At 37.9% G+C, this 20853-nt stretch overlaps 1 long non-coding RNA gene across 8 annotated transcripts in view; it reads right to left on the bottom strand.

Moving 5' to 3' along the window:
- Positions 1 to 20853, bottom strand: part of LOC105374524 (uncharacterized) — a 507306-nt gene that overhangs the window by 462311 nt on the left and 24142 nt on the right. Inside the window, exon 4 of one of the 8 annotated variants that reach the window (XR_925469.2) lies at positions 1512 to 1837. The exons of the other annotated variants lie outside the window; for them this stretch is intronic. This is a non-coding gene — a long non-coding RNA (uncharacterized LOC105374524). Of the gene's footprint in view, positions 1 to 1511; positions 1838 to 20853 lie in introns of those variants that run through there. 8 annotated transcript variants of the gene reach the window in all.

Raw genomic sequence — 20853 nt, 5'->3', positions numbered from 1 at the left:
TGGCCCCTGCTGCTGTGTCATTCCCCTATTGGCTAGGGTTAGACCACACAGGTTAAACTAATTCCGACTGGCTAATTTAAAGAGAGTGATGGGGTGAGTGGTTTGGCGGGAAAAATGGTTACGATAGAGCAGGTAATCGGAATGAGTCAGGGTGGAGTAGGTAACTGAAAAAGGTTGTTCTATGAGGAAGTTAAGTTTAAAAGTAGAAGGCAAAGAATTGAACACACTAACATATTGATTCTTTGAAGAGAAAATTTAGAACTCACATCTAACAGAACTTCACCTCTGTTTTCTCCCTCCAAGAAATCTACAACCCTAGTATAATAATGACAAAACAACAGACAAATCCCAAAAGAGGGGCAGCCCACAAAACCCTGACCAGAATACATAAAACTATCAAGACCACCAAGAGCCAAGAAAGCCCGAGACATGACAACTGAAGTAATGTGGTATCCTGGATAGGAATGTAGAACAGAAAAAGGACATTAGGTAAAAGCTAAGAAAATTGAAATGAAGTATGATTTAACAAAATAATAAACCAATAACATATTGATTCATTAATTGTAACAAATGTACCATGTTAATGCAAGATGTTAATAACAGGGAAAACTGGGTATAGGATATACGAGAATGTTTTGTACTATCTTCTGTACACCTAAAACTCTTCTAAAAGTAAAGTTTATTTTTGAAATACACATTCATTTATCTATTTAACACATATTTTTCAAATGTCTAATAGATTCCAAGGTTCACACAAGATACATGGGGCACAAACATGGTAACTACTCTCATGGAGATAATGTTGATACACAGAAGTTAAGTGACTCATCCAAGGTCACACAGCTAAGAAGAAAGAATAGTTGGAGTTGCTGCCAGACCCAAGATTTTCCACTCTATGGCAGCCTAATTCTTTCCATATTCCTGACACATTCAAGAAGATACTCCTTGTTGAGCTACTTACAAAGTGCAAGTAAACTTTTAAATAAATCAGCAAACATTTATTAAATTTGTACCATGTTCTCAGGATAGGACTACTTGCCGTGGGTTAAAAAACTGAACCTGTAGTCTCTGCCCCCTAGATAGGTACACTCTTTCTGTGAGTATTAAAAAAGAGCATAAGCATAGAAAATTTAAGTATGACCCTCAATAAACTTGAGGGGTAGGTTCTATGAAACAGTAATAGTCAAATAAATGGAAAGTTTCATAGGAAAAGATGACTTGAACTAAGCTATTGCTCTAAGTAGAGTGTCATTATGCTACAATGCCACTTATTATAGTGATTATTGACACTTATTGATACTTATTGTGGTGATTAAGAGCATGATCTGAAAAGCTAGACTGCTACAGTTCCAATCCCAGCTCTTCTTACAAAACATGTGATCTTCATCAAATTATATAAGCCATCTGTCTTCCTCTATTATAAAATGTAGCAATAATGGCACATTTCAGATAGGGTTGATTTGAGGACTCAGGGTTCCAGGAGAAAAAACAATGACCCAATCACCCTAAAAAAAAGTCTAGGAGAATTTATTTCCAAAGGGGCTATCATCAAAGACATGTATACGGGAAAACCACAAAGAACCTAGAATTCTTAGCTGCTGACCTCTTACCATCCCTAGACTAAGGGATGAAAGGAGGGGGTTTTTACTGAAGCCCAAAAGGAGAATCATGTAGTCTGTTTCCTTGTGAAGACCAGTGTCCTTTGATGAAGCCAGGGAATTAACACTCAGATTTCGCACTCTACCTTCCTTCTAGTTTCTGACAAGTCTCTCTGGTGCCCCTACCCAGCAGAAAGTAGATGGCAGCCTTTTTGATGTAGCCCATGCTGGTTAGTCTCCTGGAACAAAGGGCAGAATGGTAGCTCTGTAAGGACCATCATGAACTAATATGTATAAATAGTTAAAACATGTCTGGCACACAGTAATACCCAATACATAATAACTATGACTAGTATTTGTATTACTTCTATGTTATTAGTATTCAGCACAATTTCCAGCATTTGGTAGGAAATTAAAAACATTCGAGTAATGAGTAGAGGACAGGTACAGAAGCAGGATAGGAGTTGCTGTAGGATGTTGATACAATATAAGTTATAGTCACATATATACAATCGATCATAAATACATCATTGAAAATGACATGAGTTTAAATGAGTTGGAATTTTAATGTTGGAGAAAAGTAAGATAAACTTGTAGGGGTAGCTCCTGAAGTAGTTAGAAAACAAGTCACATTATTAAAACATACTGTTCCACACAGAGAGACAAGTTAGGAAGGAGTTAGGGGCAGTGAGGTACAAGGAAAAGATTCAAGCTTTGAGGCACAGAAATATGTTCACCCAGATCTGTGTGACATTGAGCAAGTTCCTTTTTTCTCTGAGTCTGTAATGGTTAATTTTATGTGTCAATTTTACTAGGCTATGAGATGCCTAGACATTTAGTCAAACATTATTCTGGGTGTGTCTGTCAGGGTGTTTCTGGATGAGATTAACATCTGAATCAGTAGACTGAGTACAGCAGATTGCCCTCCCTAATATGGGTGGGCCTCACTGCAATCAATTGAAAACCTGAATAAGAGAGAAAAAAAAGGCTGAGTAGGAGGGAACACTCCTTCCGCCTGGCAGCTGAGCTGAGACATTGGTGTTTTCCAGCCTTCAGGCTCAGACTAAAACATGGACTCTTCTTGGGTCTCCAGCCTGCCCACCTTTAAACTGGAACTTAAGCTATTGACTCTCCTGATACTCCAGCTTTCAGACTCAGACTAGAGCTACACCATGGGCTCTCTTGGTTCTCTGCACTGCACATCTTGGAACTTGTTAAGCTCCATACTCACAAGAGCCAATTCCTTATAATAGCTAGATACCAATATAGATAGATGATATAGATATAGATATAGATATCGACCTCCTGTTGTTTCTGTTTATCTGAAGAATCCTGATTAATACAGACAGCACTAGTACCCTAATTTAGAAAATGGAGATTGTCAGTAAGAGTCGATGAGTAAAATCCTATGCAAAGCAACTGACACATAGTAGGCATTCAGTGAATATGTCTTTTCCCCCTGAGAGTTGAGAGATTGAAAGCACAGCCAGTAAAATAAAATGGAGGGCTATCTTTCTAATAGACATCCTTCCTGCCTCTAGTCTTTAATAGAGTCCATTAATATCTATCAAACATTCCTAGGAATGGAAATATAAAGCCATCGTTGCTGTATATGTGGCAGCCTAATGAGCCAGCTGCTCCCAGTGAGGCAATAATTTACTCAAAGGTCCACAAGTGTTGAGTTAAGCATGAGTTAAGGCAGCTTTCCAAATTGACCAGTTCTTCCACAAACAGATTGCATTATTATGCTATCCTTTCTATGTAATTTGCTCACCAGGGCTCTATGCAGGATAAACCAATATGGTATCTGCCCTCTAGGACTTTTTCCTGCAAGGAATTCGCTGACAGATTTAATCACCCCAAAATCATGAAGTCAGCTCTCTTAGTTCCAGGCCAATGGAGTTTTTCTAAACCATAGCATTCTCAGACCAAGTCATGTGTATCCATTTCTTGGGGAGGGGCTACAGTAAGGATGACATTGGGCAATTTCTCAAGTCCCATTTCTCAGTAAAATGACTCAATATTTGTGCACACAGGAGCTTTTTTACGTTGGCCAATCCATAACAGATGATGATGTATATCACTTAACAGTGATGGAAGGCCCAGCTGCAGAAGTCATTTTCTGGAGTCAAGGATTGCAGCCCCCAGGCTAATTCAGCAAGAGAGATATTTATGATCTTAGCAATGGGACCGGAAGGCTCTCTGTCCCCACTTCTGAGCCTGGACAGTGCCTGCGGAGAGACTGGATTGCATTTTCTTCACCAGTGCTTGATGTTTAAACACATTAGAGGGACTTTGAGAGCCAAAATGACTGAATAAGATGGTACCCCAAAAAAGTCTCTAGTATAAAGCACCCTACCTCACAAAGCAGAAAACCAAGTTACCAGATCCCTTCCAGTCCTAACTAGCCATGTCACCTTGGGCAAGTCACTTAATTTTTCTGGGATGAAATTTTATGACCTGAAAAGTAGGTTAATAACGTCGCTTCAACTTCAAAGCCTAGAGCAGGTAAGTAGGTTTCCTGAGGTTCCTTTCAGCTCTGGTGTATCTAAAATTGTGCTTTTTATTCTGGGTGAAAGCGACATTGATCGGCATTAGCATATTAATACTTGACAGATTCCCTTTGCATGGTGCTTTTGCTTTTACTAAGAATATTTATGTACATTGATTGCTTAATTCAATACACAGCCTTCCTCTTAAAACTAGGCAAAGCAGAATTATCATTCCGTTTGACAAATAAGAAAATTGAGGTTCAGAAGGGGTAAATGACTGACCAAATTGTTGCTCTCTCATAAAAGCATGCACTGCTGCCTCAGTCCTTTAGAGCTTACTTTTCTCTAAGTGGCCTGCAACTCTCTCTTAAGCACTTTGTTCGGGTCCCTCTGCTCATCTGCCACCTTCTTAGAGATGCCTTCTCTGATCACCCTAGATAAAACAGCAATACTCTATGCTTTCATTTTGCCTTATTCTTCTTTATAGAACTTAATATTTTAAGATAAACTCATCATTTATATGTTTATTGATTTATTGGTCTTTTGTTCTTACTAAAAATTAAGCCGTGTAAGTACAAGACTTGATCAAATTTTGCTCATTCTTACATTCTTAACACCTAGAATAATGTCTGCTCAGTAACAGGCCCTGAATAAATAATTGTTAGTGATATAATAAACAAACGAGGTGAAATGGGGAAGGCACTGGAAACTTTGGTAATTGTCTTTAGAAAAAAAAATGAAAGTAGCCTTTTACCTTAGCTATTTGAATTTTGGTTCATTTTCTAGAATATCATCATTAATTTTGTCTGATACATACTTTTTATCTCACTTTCTGAAGAAAAATTAGGCAGTTATTTGATACTGTTTTAAACTATCTCTTTTCCCTACTTTATGAAGAAATATATTTTCCAAGTTCAGGATTCATTGTACTGATCCTTGAAACAGAATATGAAAATTAAAAAAAAAAACCGTGGTTTCTAAACTGGCTGTATATAAAAATCACCAGGGAATATTTTTAAAACTCAAAATTCCTCGGCCCTACCCTTGGAAAATTTTTATTCTGTGGGTCTGTGGAAGAACCAGAATTTGTACGTTTCAAACATTCCCCAGCTGATTCGACTGCACAACCATGTTTGAGAGCTATTGAGTCATATCACCTGTAAAGATTCCTTTCTGTTAAATGTTGTTATCTAGTACTTGAGCAAGCTTCCAGGATGGTTGAGTTACAGCCACAAATTTTGCTTAGTTAGAATAAGAATCATATAAGCCTTACGTGCAATTACAAGAAAACTTCGGCACAGGGATCTCCGATTACGTGGATAGAGCACAAAGGTCACGCAGACATATTTTTTCTTATCCTAAAGATCTACCCTCAGGGAGCAGGTGCCTAATTATTCTTCTGGGTATGACACGAGGTCCCCAAAAAGAATACTGTTAAGAACAAGGCAGAATAGTCCAAACCTAGGAAAGAGGATTAAGGCAAAAACTTGGCTCAATGCACTGGTCCAATGTGATGTATAGGATGAAGGTAAATCTGAGAACATTTATTCCACCCTCCACAGATATTTACTGAGCATCTACTAGGGCCTGGGGACACACCAGTGGACCTGACATGGTTTCTGCCCTCCAGAAACTTACACTGAAGTGTGAAAAAGAGAAATACACTAAACATTGCAATACAGAAGCGTAGGGTTGCTATGGGTAAACATTGAAAGAATGTCTAACTCAGTCATGAGATGATGAAAGTTAGCTCCAAGCTAAAACCTGAAAGATGAGTAAAAGTTGACAAACGTTTAAGTTGGTTTTTTTGTTTGTTTGTTTCCTTCCCAGATGGTGGATTAGAGGCTTTCAGTGTGCCTCAGCCACTTGGAAATAGCAAGACAGTTCATAAAGATCAGCTCTGTTCGCTTTAATTCAAGATGGAAAATTGGAATCCTCCAGAATTGTGAAGGACACCCCAGATCCCAGGCAGGAAAATACGAGCAAACAGCCCTCATGATGGTGGCTAGCTGATAGGAGCAAAGCCCCAGTACACGAGGAAAAAGGGGAGCCTCCTTTTGTGACTCACCTTTCCAGTAGGGACCCTAGCATCCCAAGCAAAGATAAAACACTTTGCTTCTCTAAGTTAGGGAGCTAACTTGGGAAGAGGCTTGAGGTCACTGAAAGAGAAAGACACTGGGATAAGTTGCAGGCATTTTCTCAGACCTAGGACGAAAACAGGATGCCATATTTAATCCAAGCACCTACAAAGTCAGTCATTCTTTGGTGACCTGGTACTGTGGCCATGCAGGCCACAGGAAGGTCTAGGGCCGGAGGCTGGAGCATTTGCTCTGGAGTGGAGCAGGGGGCTCCACAGCCAGAGTGGTGGTAAATGCCACAGTAGTAGGTGATGGAATTGTACTCTCCCTTTTTCACAGGCCTGAGGTGGGAGGAGAGCTGCTACAGCTGTGATTTCTCCTGGGTGACAAGGCTTGCAGTCAGGGACAGCTTGGTGACCTGGAATGAGTCTACGGGTGCTCTCCTGAGATCATGGTACAGTAGTGCACCCTCTGCTCCGGCCCCAGGCAGAACTCCAGGCATTAATCTCCAGGCATTCAGAGCACCCAGAGGCATAGACTGACATCCTGAGCAGCGTGACCCTTTCTGTGCAGAGATCTTGGTGCAGGTGGGGCCCCAGGCAGATCCCCAGGCAACCCATTGCCTGATCCATCCAGGCAGATCTCCAGGCACTCAGAGCACTCACTCACCTGCCAGCAGACTGACCCACCCCACCCTTCCTGGGCATAAATCATGGTACAGGGGGACCACCTCTGTTCTGCACCAAGGCAGATCAGATCTCCAGGCATTCAAAGCACCTGCTCACATAGAACAGCAGCCTGAGTTGCTCCACCCTTACTGTGCAGAGATCTGAGTATATGAGGCCCCTCTCTGCTCCAGCCCAGGCAGATTTTCAGGCATTTGAAGCATTTGCTCACCTAAATCAGCAGCCTGGGCCTGCCCACTCTTCCTGTACAGAGACTGCGGTGAAGCGAGGTCCTGGCTGCCCCACACTTAGGTATATCTCTAGAGAGTTGGACACCTTCGCATGTGGATTAGCAGCCTAAGCCACTATATCCTTCTAGTGCAGATTGTGATGAAGTGGGTTCCTCCCTATTTCATGCTCAGACAGATCTCCAGACATCTGGAGCACCCACTCTCTTCACCCTCCCCCTGTGCAGAGAACTTGGGGCCAAGGAGGTTTCCCAGCTCCATGCCTTGGCACACCTCTGCATGCTTGGTGGCCACCCACTTGATTCTTCCTCAACGCTGATGTTTGAGGAAGAAGATCAATAGGTCTGCCATCAGGGAACAGGTAGATAAGCCTGCTTGGTTCATCCTGGCCCATCTTCTCCCACAACTTTACCAGGGCTGAGAAGGGAGCTGAGACCACTGTGCACTTTATAGATCAGCCTATTGCCTGAGGCAACAGAGAGCTTCTCCCAGTAAACAAGAATCCAGTATATACCCAGCTGTCTGGGCCACAGCCAGCTCTTTCCCATAACTTCCATCTACTGCCTTGTGGGTTGAATTGCACAGCATAATATAAAACCTGCCAACAGAGGTGCCTAAGGCTATAAAGGCAAAGTCAAAAGACCCTACTCAACATCCTCTATAGTCACAATTCCTAGGAAGGCAGAAAGGAAAGGAAAATAAAATATATATATGTAGAAAAGAAAGAAAAAAATCCCACCCACATGAAAATAATTATAAAAATTAGAAGTGCCAGTTTATTCAGATGAAAATAAACCAGCACAAGAATTATAGTACCATGAAAAATCTGAATGTAGTGACACTACCAATGGTTCACATTAGTTTTCTAACAATGATCACTAACCAAAGTGAAACTCAGAAATGACAGATAAAGAATTCAAAGAACGGACTGCAAGGAAGCTCAACAAGATCCAAGACAAGGTTGAAAATTGACACAAAGAAACTTCTAAAGCAATCCAAGAAATGAAGAAAGAGATAACCATCATTAAAAAATTTATAGTTTATGGAATTAAAATAAACTCACTTAAGGAATATCAAAATACAATTGAAAATGTTATCGATAGACAAGCTCAAGCCAAAAAAACAAAAGAAAAGATTTCACAGCTTGAAGACCAGTTTTACAAACTAACCCAGTCAGACAAAAATAAAGATTAAAGAATTTTAAAAATGAGCAAAGTCTTCGAGAAACATGGGATTATGTAAAGTGCAACCAAATGTATAAATTATTCGCATTTCTGAGAGAGAAGAAGAAAAAGCAAACAACCTGGAAAATATATTTAAGGAAATCATTCAAGATATTTTGTCTTAATTTTGCTAGGAATTATCTGAGAAATGCAAATGAAAACCACAGTGAGATACTATCTCACACCAGTCAGAATGGCTATAATTAGAAAGTCAAAGAACAACAGATGCTGGCAAGGCTGAGGAGCAAATGGAATGCTTATACACTGTTGGTGGGAATGCAAACTAGTTCAGCCACCGTGGGAAGCAGTTTGGTGATTTCTCAAATAACTTAAAACAGAACTACCATTAGACCCAGCAATTCCATTACTGGGAATACCCACAGGAAAATAGATGATTATACCAAAAAGATATATGCACTTGGATGCTCATTTCCTTACTATTCACAATAGCAAAGACATGGAATCAACCTAGGGTCCCATCAATGGTGGACTGTGTAAAGAAAATGTGGTACATATATACCACGGAACACTATGCAGTCATAAAAAAGAATGAAGCTATGCCCTTTGCAGCAACATGGATGCAGCTGGAGGCCATTATCCTAAGTGAATTAATGCAAGAACAAAAACCAAATACTGCATTGCCTCATGTACATAACGATTGCAACCATAGACACTGGGAACTAATTGAGGTGGGAGGAAAAAGGGAGAAGAAGGGTTGAAAAAATAATTATTATATACTATCCTTACTACCTGGGTGACAGGATTAATGGTACCCCAAACTTTAGCATCATGCAGTTTATCCATGTAACAAACCTGCATATGTATCCCTGAATCTAAAATATAATTTGAAATTATTTTAAAATTTTTAAAAATAAAGTTTTTTAATTAAATAAAAAAAGAATTGAAAGAGGATGAGGAATGTTGCAGAAAGAAGGGAGAGTAAATATGTTTGTCCAGATACAGCCTCAGCATTTAAGGAATGAATGTCTAGAAAAGGCAGAGTGATGGAGTTAGAAGTCTGAAGTGGTAGCGTTGTTCTAGGCATTGAGGATACAGTGGAAAACAAAGGCAGACCGGGTCCTAGCAATCTCAAAGCTAAACACTCAAATAATGAACTGGACGATAAATATATGGAAAAAAATGTGACAATAGGTGGAGAGATGGTGATTTTGGCTAAGTCTGGCAGTAAGTATGGAGAAAATGAGAAACTGGCAAATAACCATTTGCAGGGAAGTAGCACAAAGAATTGGGAGAGCATGGCATCTTTGTAGGGATCACTGTACCCTGGGTCTGTCTGGATGAGTAGCTAAATTCTAAGCCCCACATTAAGGGTATTGAACTCTTTATATTCTACCTGCTTCAGTCCAGGCATTCCAGGTCAGTGGATCCAGCTGAAATGTATTAGAAAAAAAAAGATACAGAGAAATTGAGTCTGGGGCTGATCCCATTTATCTCTGAAAAATAAACAAATCCTATACATTTGGCAAGTTGTATAATTAAAGTCAAATATTGATGTAAACATAAGATACCCAAATCCACTCTCTAAACTCAAATGACCACTGAACTAATTTTAAAGTAATTGTGAAAGTGACAACGAAACAGAGAGCTTAAAATCATGATTAAACCTACATTTATCATTTTATTTTAAAAGGAGGGAACTTATTTGTTATTCTTTTGAAAATCAGATGTCTGATAGAAATATGCCTTTTGAATTACTGCATTAAGATCTTATAAATCTCTTCTCAACCTTGCATGTGAATGATTCATAGATGTAAAATAGAAGGGCTGGCTTATAGCAAATGGAGGAAAGTGTCTGTAATCCAGGTAGAGACAATAAGAATTAAATATAGTAACACAGAGAAGAGACAAGATCTAAATGGGTTAAGAGAGGTTAATCAAAGTGTGTTCTCACTTCAGAAAAGAAAAGGAAGTGTAGAATAATTGGTAGCCTCAGGAGAAATATAAAAGCTATGGATAAAATATATATATACACACACACACATCCTAGAAATAACATGTTAGAAAAAATAAAGAAATCTAGATGCAATAGTTTTAAGAAAAGGCCTTTGTAACAAAGGCAAAGTCACGTAACATAAGATTGTACTTTACTTTGGGCGTTTTAATTTTCTTCTCAATCATTCCAAGAGCTTTCTTGTCTCTCTTCCTCAAGTCTCTCTTTATCTGTTTCCTATACTCAAGCTACATTGGAATAACGTTGATCTTGTGAGTTGATTTCTAAATGTGTTTTCAAAGTAGGTTCATCTTCACCACTTAGAGAGAGGTTTATCTGCTTTTTGCCAGACAAGCTGTTTGATCAAGTCATTTAATATCACATATTTGGGATACAGGCAATATGAGTTGTTGTGATGAAGCAGAGCTTTGCACTTGAAATGAATATGTAGTCGTTGACTGACCTCTAAAAAAATGCAATGTCCTATTTTCTTTGGGATTTCAATGGAAAGGTGGTTTTTACACCTATTTCTAGTTGTACTTTCAAGAATATTTCAGCAGATTCCATGCAATCAACAAAAACAGATGTGCACCTTGAAAAATAACATATGTAAAAATTGCATGTACATTTAAACCACAATAGTTACAAAGAGATCCAAGCCATGCAATTTATTTTCTTAAAAGCAGCAGGTTAATTTTAGATGTTTTTTACAACTAAAATGGTAGCTGTAGAAACATTATATTCACATATCATATATTTTAAAATTGATTATTATACCTTAGATTTCTTTGTTCAATGGTTCTGGCAAAACTCATCTAAACTTAAAAAAAGTACCATGCCCTAAAATTGGATATAAATGGCAAAATCAATCTCATCCATGATTTGTAATGTTGGAAAAGCATATCTAATTTGTACTAGAAAAAGGAGCAGCCAAAGAGAAGCACTAGTACTTTTTCTTTTTCTTTTGAGTTGGAGTCTTGCTGTGTCGCCAGGCTGGAGTGCAGTGGCACAGTCTCCGCTCACTGCAACCTCCACCTCCTGGGTTCAAGCAATTCTCCTGCCTCAGCCTCCTGAGTAGCTGTGACTACAGGCACGTGCCACCATGCCCAGCTAATTTTTGTATTTTTCGTAGAGATGGGGTTTCACCATGTTGGCCGGGATAGTCTCAATCTCTTGACCTCATGATCTGCCCACCTCGGCCTCCCAAAGTGCTGGGATTACAGGCGTGAGCCGCCGCACCTGCCCCTGCACTAGTGTTATTAATGTATGTGTGGCTGCCTAATCTGACTTCTAAATAAGATATCAAAATTGATGGTATTATTTGTATACCACTAGATGAAATCAGAATGCAAAATACAGCAATACTCAAAGAGTCCCTTAAAGATGTTATCCAACAGAGATATGGAAAGAAATACAAATACAAAAATCAAATTTCAAAGTAGAAACTTTGATTCCAGTCTGAATTCTCTTTTTCACAATTAGACCCCAACTAAGCTCTCTCTTTCTCTACTGATCTCCTTAGCCCTATAGTCTGGAATGGAAACTTCCAGCTTCTGGGTAGTGAGGATCTCAGGGCTTTATATTCACTGTCATCTTTTGCCTTCTTTCTATCTAAGGAAGCCAATCCTGACATTAGAAAATTTGATCCAGGTAGTTTAACTACCTAGAAAAGCACCATTGGTTCCCTGTCTTTTTAAAGAACCAGGTTTAGCAAATCATTATCAGGGGCAAAATTAAGTGAAAATCTTACTATCTAAAATGCTGAATCAAACAATTAAAACTTCTGTTTCTACAGGAGCTAAATTTTGAAAGATTCTATCAGTATATCTTAGAAAGAAATATGATATAAAAATAGAGTAGAAGAATTGCTACATTTAAGCCTCCTTCAAAATACATAGCCTACTTTTTTTATAAGTTTTTCCTTTTGGTATTCATGGAATGGAAAGTAATTAAACCCCTCTGAGACAGTCGATGTACAGATTCAATAATTATCATCTTTATTTCTCCTTTCAAGACATGCATAAAGATTAAGTTTTAATATTAAGACTAATATAACCAGCTCCCATCAAAATAATAATGTATTGTTAGACTAACATTAAAATAAACATATTTTATATTCCAAATTCTTGCAATATATGTGATTCCCTAAATTCTTAATTTCCTCAAGTATGAAAGCCTAGTGCCAGAAGGGATTTGAGATCCTCAAGTCTAAACCTCTTATTTCATATATGAAGAACCTGGTGAAATCGCAGCTAGTTAGCCACAGAAGTGAGAGTAGCAATCAAAACAGCAAATTTTTAGTACAAGACTTGCCCTAGTGCATCCTCTCTGCATTTTGTCCATGTAAAATAACTTGGATAAAGTTGGGAAAGTCATAGTGATTTGCAAAGAATCACCTGATGTCCACTGATTTCTATCACTGATCACTGAGAGAAATTAAGAGATATCCTCAGTATCATATCAAAGGAGATCCAAGCATTAAATAAAATAATCCACATAGAGACAATGAGAGCATTGCCTTGCACACAGCAAGTCTGCCTAGCACTCCATAAATGTAAACCACCATTACCATTGTCAACATCCATGTCTCCTTCACTTGACAACAATCTATGGAAAAGAAGCTGGGAATTTCACTAGCACTAAGGAGATTGTGGAATTCTTCACTTACGTTCTGGGCCCACTTATTAGCAGTAGCCTTTCCTTGATTTCCTTGGCCAATGTAAACATGTATACACAAGTTAGTGTCACATTGTCAGCTTCCTCACAGTATTAATTCCTAGGAATTATTTCCTAGAAATTAATGTCTGCAGAGTAAAATGTGGTTTTTTTGTTTTGTTTTGTTTTTCTCCCCCCAGTAGAACATGAAATGAACAGATTTACTGAAATAAGCTCTCTACCTGGAGCAAGGATGAGGGAACAGTTAACTAGGCTCCTCAGAAGAGATGGATCTCGACTCATATGCTTTCTTTGCATTCTCGGCTGCTTTGTGTGAAAAGAAACTTAATTATGACATTTCAATATTGAAATAAAATTAGTTTGGATTTTAGTCCTCACTCTTGAAAGGAAATTATGCTCCATTTTTAACTGTGCAAGACAACTGCTGATTCATCTGTGGAGTGATAAGCAAGGCTATTTTTATAAACATATAACTAACTATATACAGGGCCTCCTTAGGGCTTCTCTTCTTATGGGTGCAATTTGGCATTCAAACTCCTGCTTACAGAAGGTTTTGTGGCCACCTCACATGCCGCAGTGTCAACCCTGTCCGCCACTTATGTTGGTTAAATCTCTTTAGCAACAATAAACATAGCCAATTATAATGACATATTTTACTCATGTTCCACATTCGTGCCTAGTTCTAGGCACAAAATAAAAGAACTCAAGGATTTTCTTGTCCAGTTTAACCTAAATATTTTAAGTCCTAAATATATTATGTGCAATATCCCTAGAATATATATAGTATATTAATTTATTGTTTAACATATTAGTAAAGTTTAAAAATCATGTAATGAGTTAAATATTAAAGACCACGTAGCCAATGTAGTTTCATTGCTCTTTAAATGCCTCTGGCAAGGATTTAATTTAGATTTAATAAAATAGTTATTATGCTATTTATTTCATTATAAATATGCTAATATAAATGTGATGCTATAAATATTTCTGCTAATTAAATACTAGCTGACTTACGGTGGTTTATTTAGGTGCAACTAGAAGTTTATTAGGATGTATGAGTTGAAACTCGATAACCATAGTCCCAATAATCTATTGATATTTAATAGGTAATAACCATATTATATTCAAGGTAATACATTTAAATGTATTCTTTCTATTGAATGTTAGTTTAAAGCTAATTATTTGTAACATATTTACTAAGCTTCAACTGTTTAAGAGATATTCATCTTAATAAAAAAGGTTGTTATGCCCCAATAGATATTCATAATAATCAGTTTATATTTAATTAACATATAATAACTCCCTCATTAAACCTAAATTAAATCCTTATTTGAAATACTTAATTTAAAGTACAACTGAAAATACTGCTATAGAAAAATTACATAGCTTCTGTGTATTGTTTTCACAAGCAAAATGAAGAGATGGCCTTGCAATCTAAGGCAGAATTTCATATGACACTGAAGGATGTTTAGGGTACTCTGTAAGTCCACGTGTACAGATCATAAAACAAAATATTAACGCAAGCAACATTTTTTATGAAGCCCACATTTAAATGTTTTAACAATCATTAAATTTTAATAAGCTAAAAACTAAACAAAATGAAATAGTGAAACACTTGATGTTCTTAAATAAGATAAAACTAATTAAGGTGAAAGGTCGCCCAGGCTGGAGTGCAGTGGCACCATCTCAGCTCACTGCAACCTCCGCCTACTGGGTTCAAGCGATTCTCATGTCTCAGCCTCCGAAGCAACTGGGATTACAGGCACGGCCACCATGCCTCACTAACTTTCTGTATTTTTGGTAGAGACAGGGTTTCATCAAGTTGGTCAGGCAGCTCTTGAACTTCCGACCTCAAGTGATCCACACACCTGCCTCTTAAAGTGCTGGGAGCCACCGCGTTCAGCCCATAATGTTCTTTATTTCTCCCTCCAGCCCTCTCTCCATCTTCCCTACTGAGCTCTATGACCCAGGAGGCAGCTCCATAAGGAAGGAGTGCATCACCACCAGGGTCCTTGAGCTCTAGACTCCAGATGTATTTGGGCAATGGAAAGCATCAGCAGGAGACGCAAGGGAAAGGGTAAGGAAAGGCAGAGGTCTTCATCACTTCATCCCTTTTCACAGTTGTGGTTTGCCAGTGCCTATGTTTCTCTCCATAAAGCTACAGATTCTGTCTTGTAGCCCTTCCTAGACTTCTAGTTCTCATATAATTCTGGCAACTCTTCCTTTCTTTTTCCTCTTCAGGCATGGAGTCCATAGTGGTTTCTCATGGTTGCTAGTCTCAGGGTGTTTTTTCTTTTGAGTGTACCATCTATTTTCTGTCAGGACCTGGACTTATATGCAAATTAAAAAAATAAAATAAATAACAACTGGAGCAGCAACAACTAACCTTTATAAAACACTTTTACACATGTTGTTTAAAACATAATAGGCTTTATGTTTAAGCCATTTAACCAATGGAGAAACTGAGGCTCAGGTTTTCTGCACAAAGGCACATGGTTACTATGTGGAAAAGCCAGAAATCAAGCCCAGGTCGTTCAACTCCATATCCTAATCTCCAATATAATCCAGTCACCAGAAGGATTACATTTTCCTTAGCTTTATTTTTTACTTTTTTATTTGTTTTTTTGAGACGGAATCTCCCTGCAAGCTCCGCCTCCCAGGTTCACGCCATTCTCCTGCCTCAGCCTCCCCAGTAGCTGGGACTACAGGCACCCACCACCACGCCCGGATAGTTTTTGTATTTTTTTAGTAGAGATGGGGTTTCACCGTGTTAGCCAGGATGGTCTCGATCTCCTGACCTCATGATCCGACTGCCTCGGCCTCCCAAAGTGCTGGGATTAGAGGCGTGAGTCACCGCGCCCGGCCATTTTCCTTGGCTTTAATCAACATTCTACACTACAGCAGTCGTTTATGATTTTTTGAGGCTATAGAACCCTTTCTTCAAAAATATCTAAAGAGTTTCAACAAATTGAAAAGATAAAAGTAGAGCAGCTTTGGTTGCTGCAATCTTTAGTAATCTCATTAAGACCATGTGGGGATAACCCCACTAAACCTTGCTCCTGGAATCATCACATATCCCAAACCTGTCCAATTAGAGCACTCTATCTCCCTAGCCACATTGATTGGCTCATGGGCAATCGCATGATCCAAACTGGGCCCCTCTGAGTCTTCCAAATATGTGCTACTTTCTTCTGGAATGGCAAGCTGAGAAGATAATGAAAGCCTTAGATTCGTCAATAGTTATCTTAGCTGTTATACAGAGACAGCCAGCCTGAAAATAAAGCCAGATACAAAGCCTGAACCACGAGAAGATCAGAGGGTCCTAATGGCACGCTGTGAATCCATGAACTCGACCAAGACCAAAACCAGTCCCATCCTTTGGAATAATTAGATATGGTAGCAAGTCAATTATCTTTCTGCCTAAGTTAGTTTGTGTTAGATTTCTACCACTTAACAGCCAATAAAACAGAGTTCCACCAAAGTTATATAAATAATTAGTTTTGTGCTTATTTATTTGTTACCCAAAAGGCATGGTTCTCACTAACTTGGTACATTAGCTGGAGATTGAATCCCTTATTCTAGATAATTCTTGATGGTGTTCAAGTTGATACTTGTAAAGAATTGATACAATACAAAGTTTTCCAAATGAGTTGTAACTTTTTGTTTTGTGGTAGGAAGAGCACTAAGACATCCAACTTTGTAGCTGCTTCCTTTATAGAACTCATTCTCTTATTCTGAACTTCATTTCTTCACTAATCAATAAATTAACATTACTAATTTTGCCTTTTTTACAAGGTTAGTATGAGGTTCTTATTTAAAATCTGCATAATGTGTAAAAGATCTATGTTGTACAAAATGAAAGGCAAGATGTCAGCAGTTTACCAAATGTCAATTTAAATTACTTTCTCAATATTTTTAATATAAAAGCATACCAAATTATATATTTGGCATGATATTCAAAAGTAATGAATGTTTTTTAAAATAGGTGTTATTATTTGTTTCTTTTGGTCTGTAATGTTTTTTAAAGTTCTTTACAAACAATAAATGATTAGACTTCTTAGCAGCCCACTGACCCAGCAGTGTTATGAAGGAGAATCTCTCCCTGCAACAATGTAGACCTGTATTTATTTTCTAGGTTTTAAAAACTCGCTTATGGAAGCTTTGGACATTAGCAGTCATTTTAAAACACAATTAAGCTATTAGTGTATTCAAAAGAGACCAATAGCAACTTTAGGCTATGTCTATTCTTGGGCCAAATGAGTGGGGAGTGTTGGGAAACATCCAGATATTTAGTACATAATGGCCTAAAACAACTGTGGGAACAGAAAAAAAAAAAAAGATGGGAGGATGTGAGTTTTCCAAATTGACTCTTTCCAGTGAAATCTGTGTAAATATGATTCTATCTCTATGTGCCTGAATAAACCCAACTTCCATATTTTTAGTTTGCTTTATTTTATTTTGCACCAAAAACTCAGTTTATATGTGATAGGGAATTACCACATATATTTTAGCTATTTCATTTATATATCTTATTTCTATTAAATTTTAAAAACTATTTACTCCTAGCATGAGTGAGCCCAAATTTAAACTGCAACATCCCATTCTACCATCTTGACTCCTGGGGAAAACGAAACTAAGCAAAACAATTGTTAGTGTTCTCTGGCTTTTGATGACTTAAGGAATCACTTCCTTAATGACAAAAAATAAAATTGCTACATATTTCTGATTGCCAGTCCTTACATATAGAGGACTATAGCTAAATATATTATTCTGTCTGCATCACTTATTAAAGAAGGGCAGAAAGGGAGCAAGACATAAGACATTTGGAAATTGTGGTGTGAGATCAACACTCTGCATAGACTTCTAGTGAGAGCCCTTCACATCCTTCACCAGTCTCATGATGTCTTTAGTATGTACACTGTCTGCAGTCATAAATAGATTCAGCCCATTTTATGCCTAACTAATACGATAACATTTTGGGCATTAGACCCAGATCTAATATTTGTGGTCTTACAAAATCACTGGATTACTGGAACAAAAACTTCTATTATTGCCTCTGCTCACCACATAAGAAAATATATAGTAATGATCAGGTGTGTGTGTGCCCTGGTTTCAGACTGCCTGGGACCCAATCCTGGCCTTGCCTTGCCTTTCTCTTACCTTGGTCTTAACTTCTTTACATTTCATTTCTTCATATATAGAAGTAATAGTAAAACCAGGCTCATGGCAAAGTACTTAGATGTGACTCAATTATCCTAATTGAACAACAAGTATTAGCCATTGTTAAACACTGCTTAGAACATTAATGCTGATTAAAACTTTACCTTGACCATATCCAGTTAAATCCTACCCAAGTTTTGGATTTCTTCTGGCCACATGTACCTCAGTCTAGATTCTATCTTCTTGTTACACAGTGCTTTTATACCACTCTGTACCTTTCTAGAAGAAATAGTATTACTGCTAGTAATTATATATTTCTGAGTTTATTAGTTTAATATTTATATTCTCATTGGATTCTAAGTTCTGTAAGGAAAAGAATATATTTTGCTCAGAATTTTATTTGTGCTGCTTGGCAGTGGCTGGCACATAGTAGTCCTCAATAAACATTTGTTGGATCAACAAAGGAAAGAATAAATGAATGATTGTATTATAGGTCTCAATTTTTTTTTTTTTACTTTCTACAATTTTTTTCTTCTTTAAACAATCAGTGTTGCAACAATCTGCCCTCCCATGACTCAACCTTACCCTACAATGCCAGCTATATCGTCTAAGTTATTAAATTATTTTTCATGATGAGGTTAGGCAAGATTATCTCTAAAATTAGCATTTTGTAACACTAAAGATGACTAAAATAGAATGTAACTAATGAATTTGGTAATATTGCTTTTGAACTGATTCTAATTTAGTCTCTTTTTTCCTTCTGCAGTAACATAATAGACTTAAACGTTTCCTTTATAGTGCCACAAATCAATCAATAAGCATTTGTTCTATGTCTACTATGACTTTAGCACTACAGCAAGGTGTCCTACTTATAAAAGGCATTGTACCTGTTTTAATTGCCTTCTTTAGCACATAGCCATTTAAGGACTTAATGATAAATAAATACATCTAGATGTCAATTAAATAAATTTGTAGTCACAAACCAGGGCCAAGTAAAGAGTTCTGGAGTCCTAATTCCAAGAGGTTTATTGCCACAAGGAAATGAAACTACTTAGACACTCCACATGGAATGGATGCTAGAAATTACAAATGCAGTGGGAATATTGGAGGTGTCCACATCTAGCAGAGTCATCACCATCTCCATGGAAACCATCCCCCACCCACTTCTGGGGAGAAAACAGCAGCTGTTCAACAGCACACAACCAAGAAAAATGCAAATCAGTTGGAAGTGTAAAACTCAGGATCCATTTAAAATTGTTAAAGGGCTGAAATTTGGGGTAAAGGAATGAGATTAATGAAGCAGTGATTTAGCAAATAAGTCTACCTTGGCCTCCTGCGCATCGTAAAGAGTTCTGAGAAGACGAAGGAGCAAAGTGGTCAGAAATTTACATCAACCATCATTACATCACCCTATTGGAATAATGCATTGCAGAAATTTTGCAAGGAAAATATAATAGCTTTTAAAGAAAGGAACTAGGAGGAAATATGTTTGGGAATTAGTTTTGAAGAAGAAAGAAGAAAAAAATAAAGTTAAGGCATGGCATAGAGTACTAAATAGAAGAAAATTTGGAAAAGGAAGAGAAATTTTAAAAAGCACTGTGTTCCTTGTGCATAATATGTTATCGTTGATTACTTTATATGTTTTTTGCATGTGCGATTTTATGTGATTTTCATAGGTGTATCTTCTGCCACAAAGGTTTTACTTGTATATAATATGGAAACTTATGTAAAAGCCTTAGGTAAATATGGACAGCTAAATCAGGCACTTCGGGCCGTGTCAAAAAGGATAAAGAGCTAGATCGCTGGTATTTCGTTTGTATGAACTCAGGATTATAATGAGAAGAAAAACATGAGACCTCGTAAGTGCTAGACTCTGAGAACTGTCTCCTGTCCCATCAAATTTATCTCCTAAAAATTTGAAGCTGAGATTCCTTTAGTCAGCTGCGTCACTAACAATGAAAAGATGTAGGGCACAATTCTGCAATGGGGATGAAAAAGCAGAAAGAACTTATGAAAGAGTTAGAGAGAAGGGATTAAAAAAGAGAGAGAGCAGGGTAGAGGCCAACCCTCTACTGGTGGGAACATGTTAGTTTATCTTGGGGCTTCCTCAGTGTTACACTGAGATTCTAGGGTCAATTGAAGTGGCTGGTGGTGGGAAGGTCATTGCATTCTTCATCATTGGCCCACAGTGGTTATGAATGAAATGTTTATCAGCCCTGTTGATGCATTCTTTTCAAGTTTGTCACTATGATGCTAGCCTGCTACTCAAGAATCTCAAAAGGCTGGGAGCCCAAGGACTAAGATTCCAGCTACTGGGTGTGCCACATTCTCAAGACAATACTGCCATGGGACTCATGTATCTTGCAACAGCAGGAAGTCATTTTCTAGATTGGAGCCAGCACTCTGTTTGTTTTCATGCACTTAGTCTTTTAGAACCAAAAACTAGGAAGTCTTGCAGGTTTCTGCCATTTCTGATTTACCACATTCTTCCTCCTGGGCTTTAACACAGAGCATACTAGCTGCTTTAATGCGGGATTGGTGGCGTGAGGTGGGGGATGCCCACCCTCCTGTAACTGTTCTCTGATTTTTCTTTGAAAAAGAACTCAAATGCTTGTGGGATATTACATAAAAATGTTAAAGCTATATACCAAACTTTCTGTGTGAAACTTAAATAATTCAAATCAAGACTTCTTTGTGACCTAACACAGAATAATAAAGGAAGGTTTCAGGGCCAGGTGTGGTGGCTCATGCCTGTAATCCCAGAA

The sequence above is a fragment of the Homo sapiens genome, chromosome 4 (assembly GCF_000001405.40).
Source record: "Homo sapiens chromosome 4, GRCh38.p14 Primary Assembly".
Taxonomy (NCBI): Eukaryota; Metazoa; Chordata; class Mammalia; order Primates; family Hominidae; genus Homo; species Homo sapiens.
This window is presented reverse-complemented; position numbering and strand designations above follow the sequence as displayed.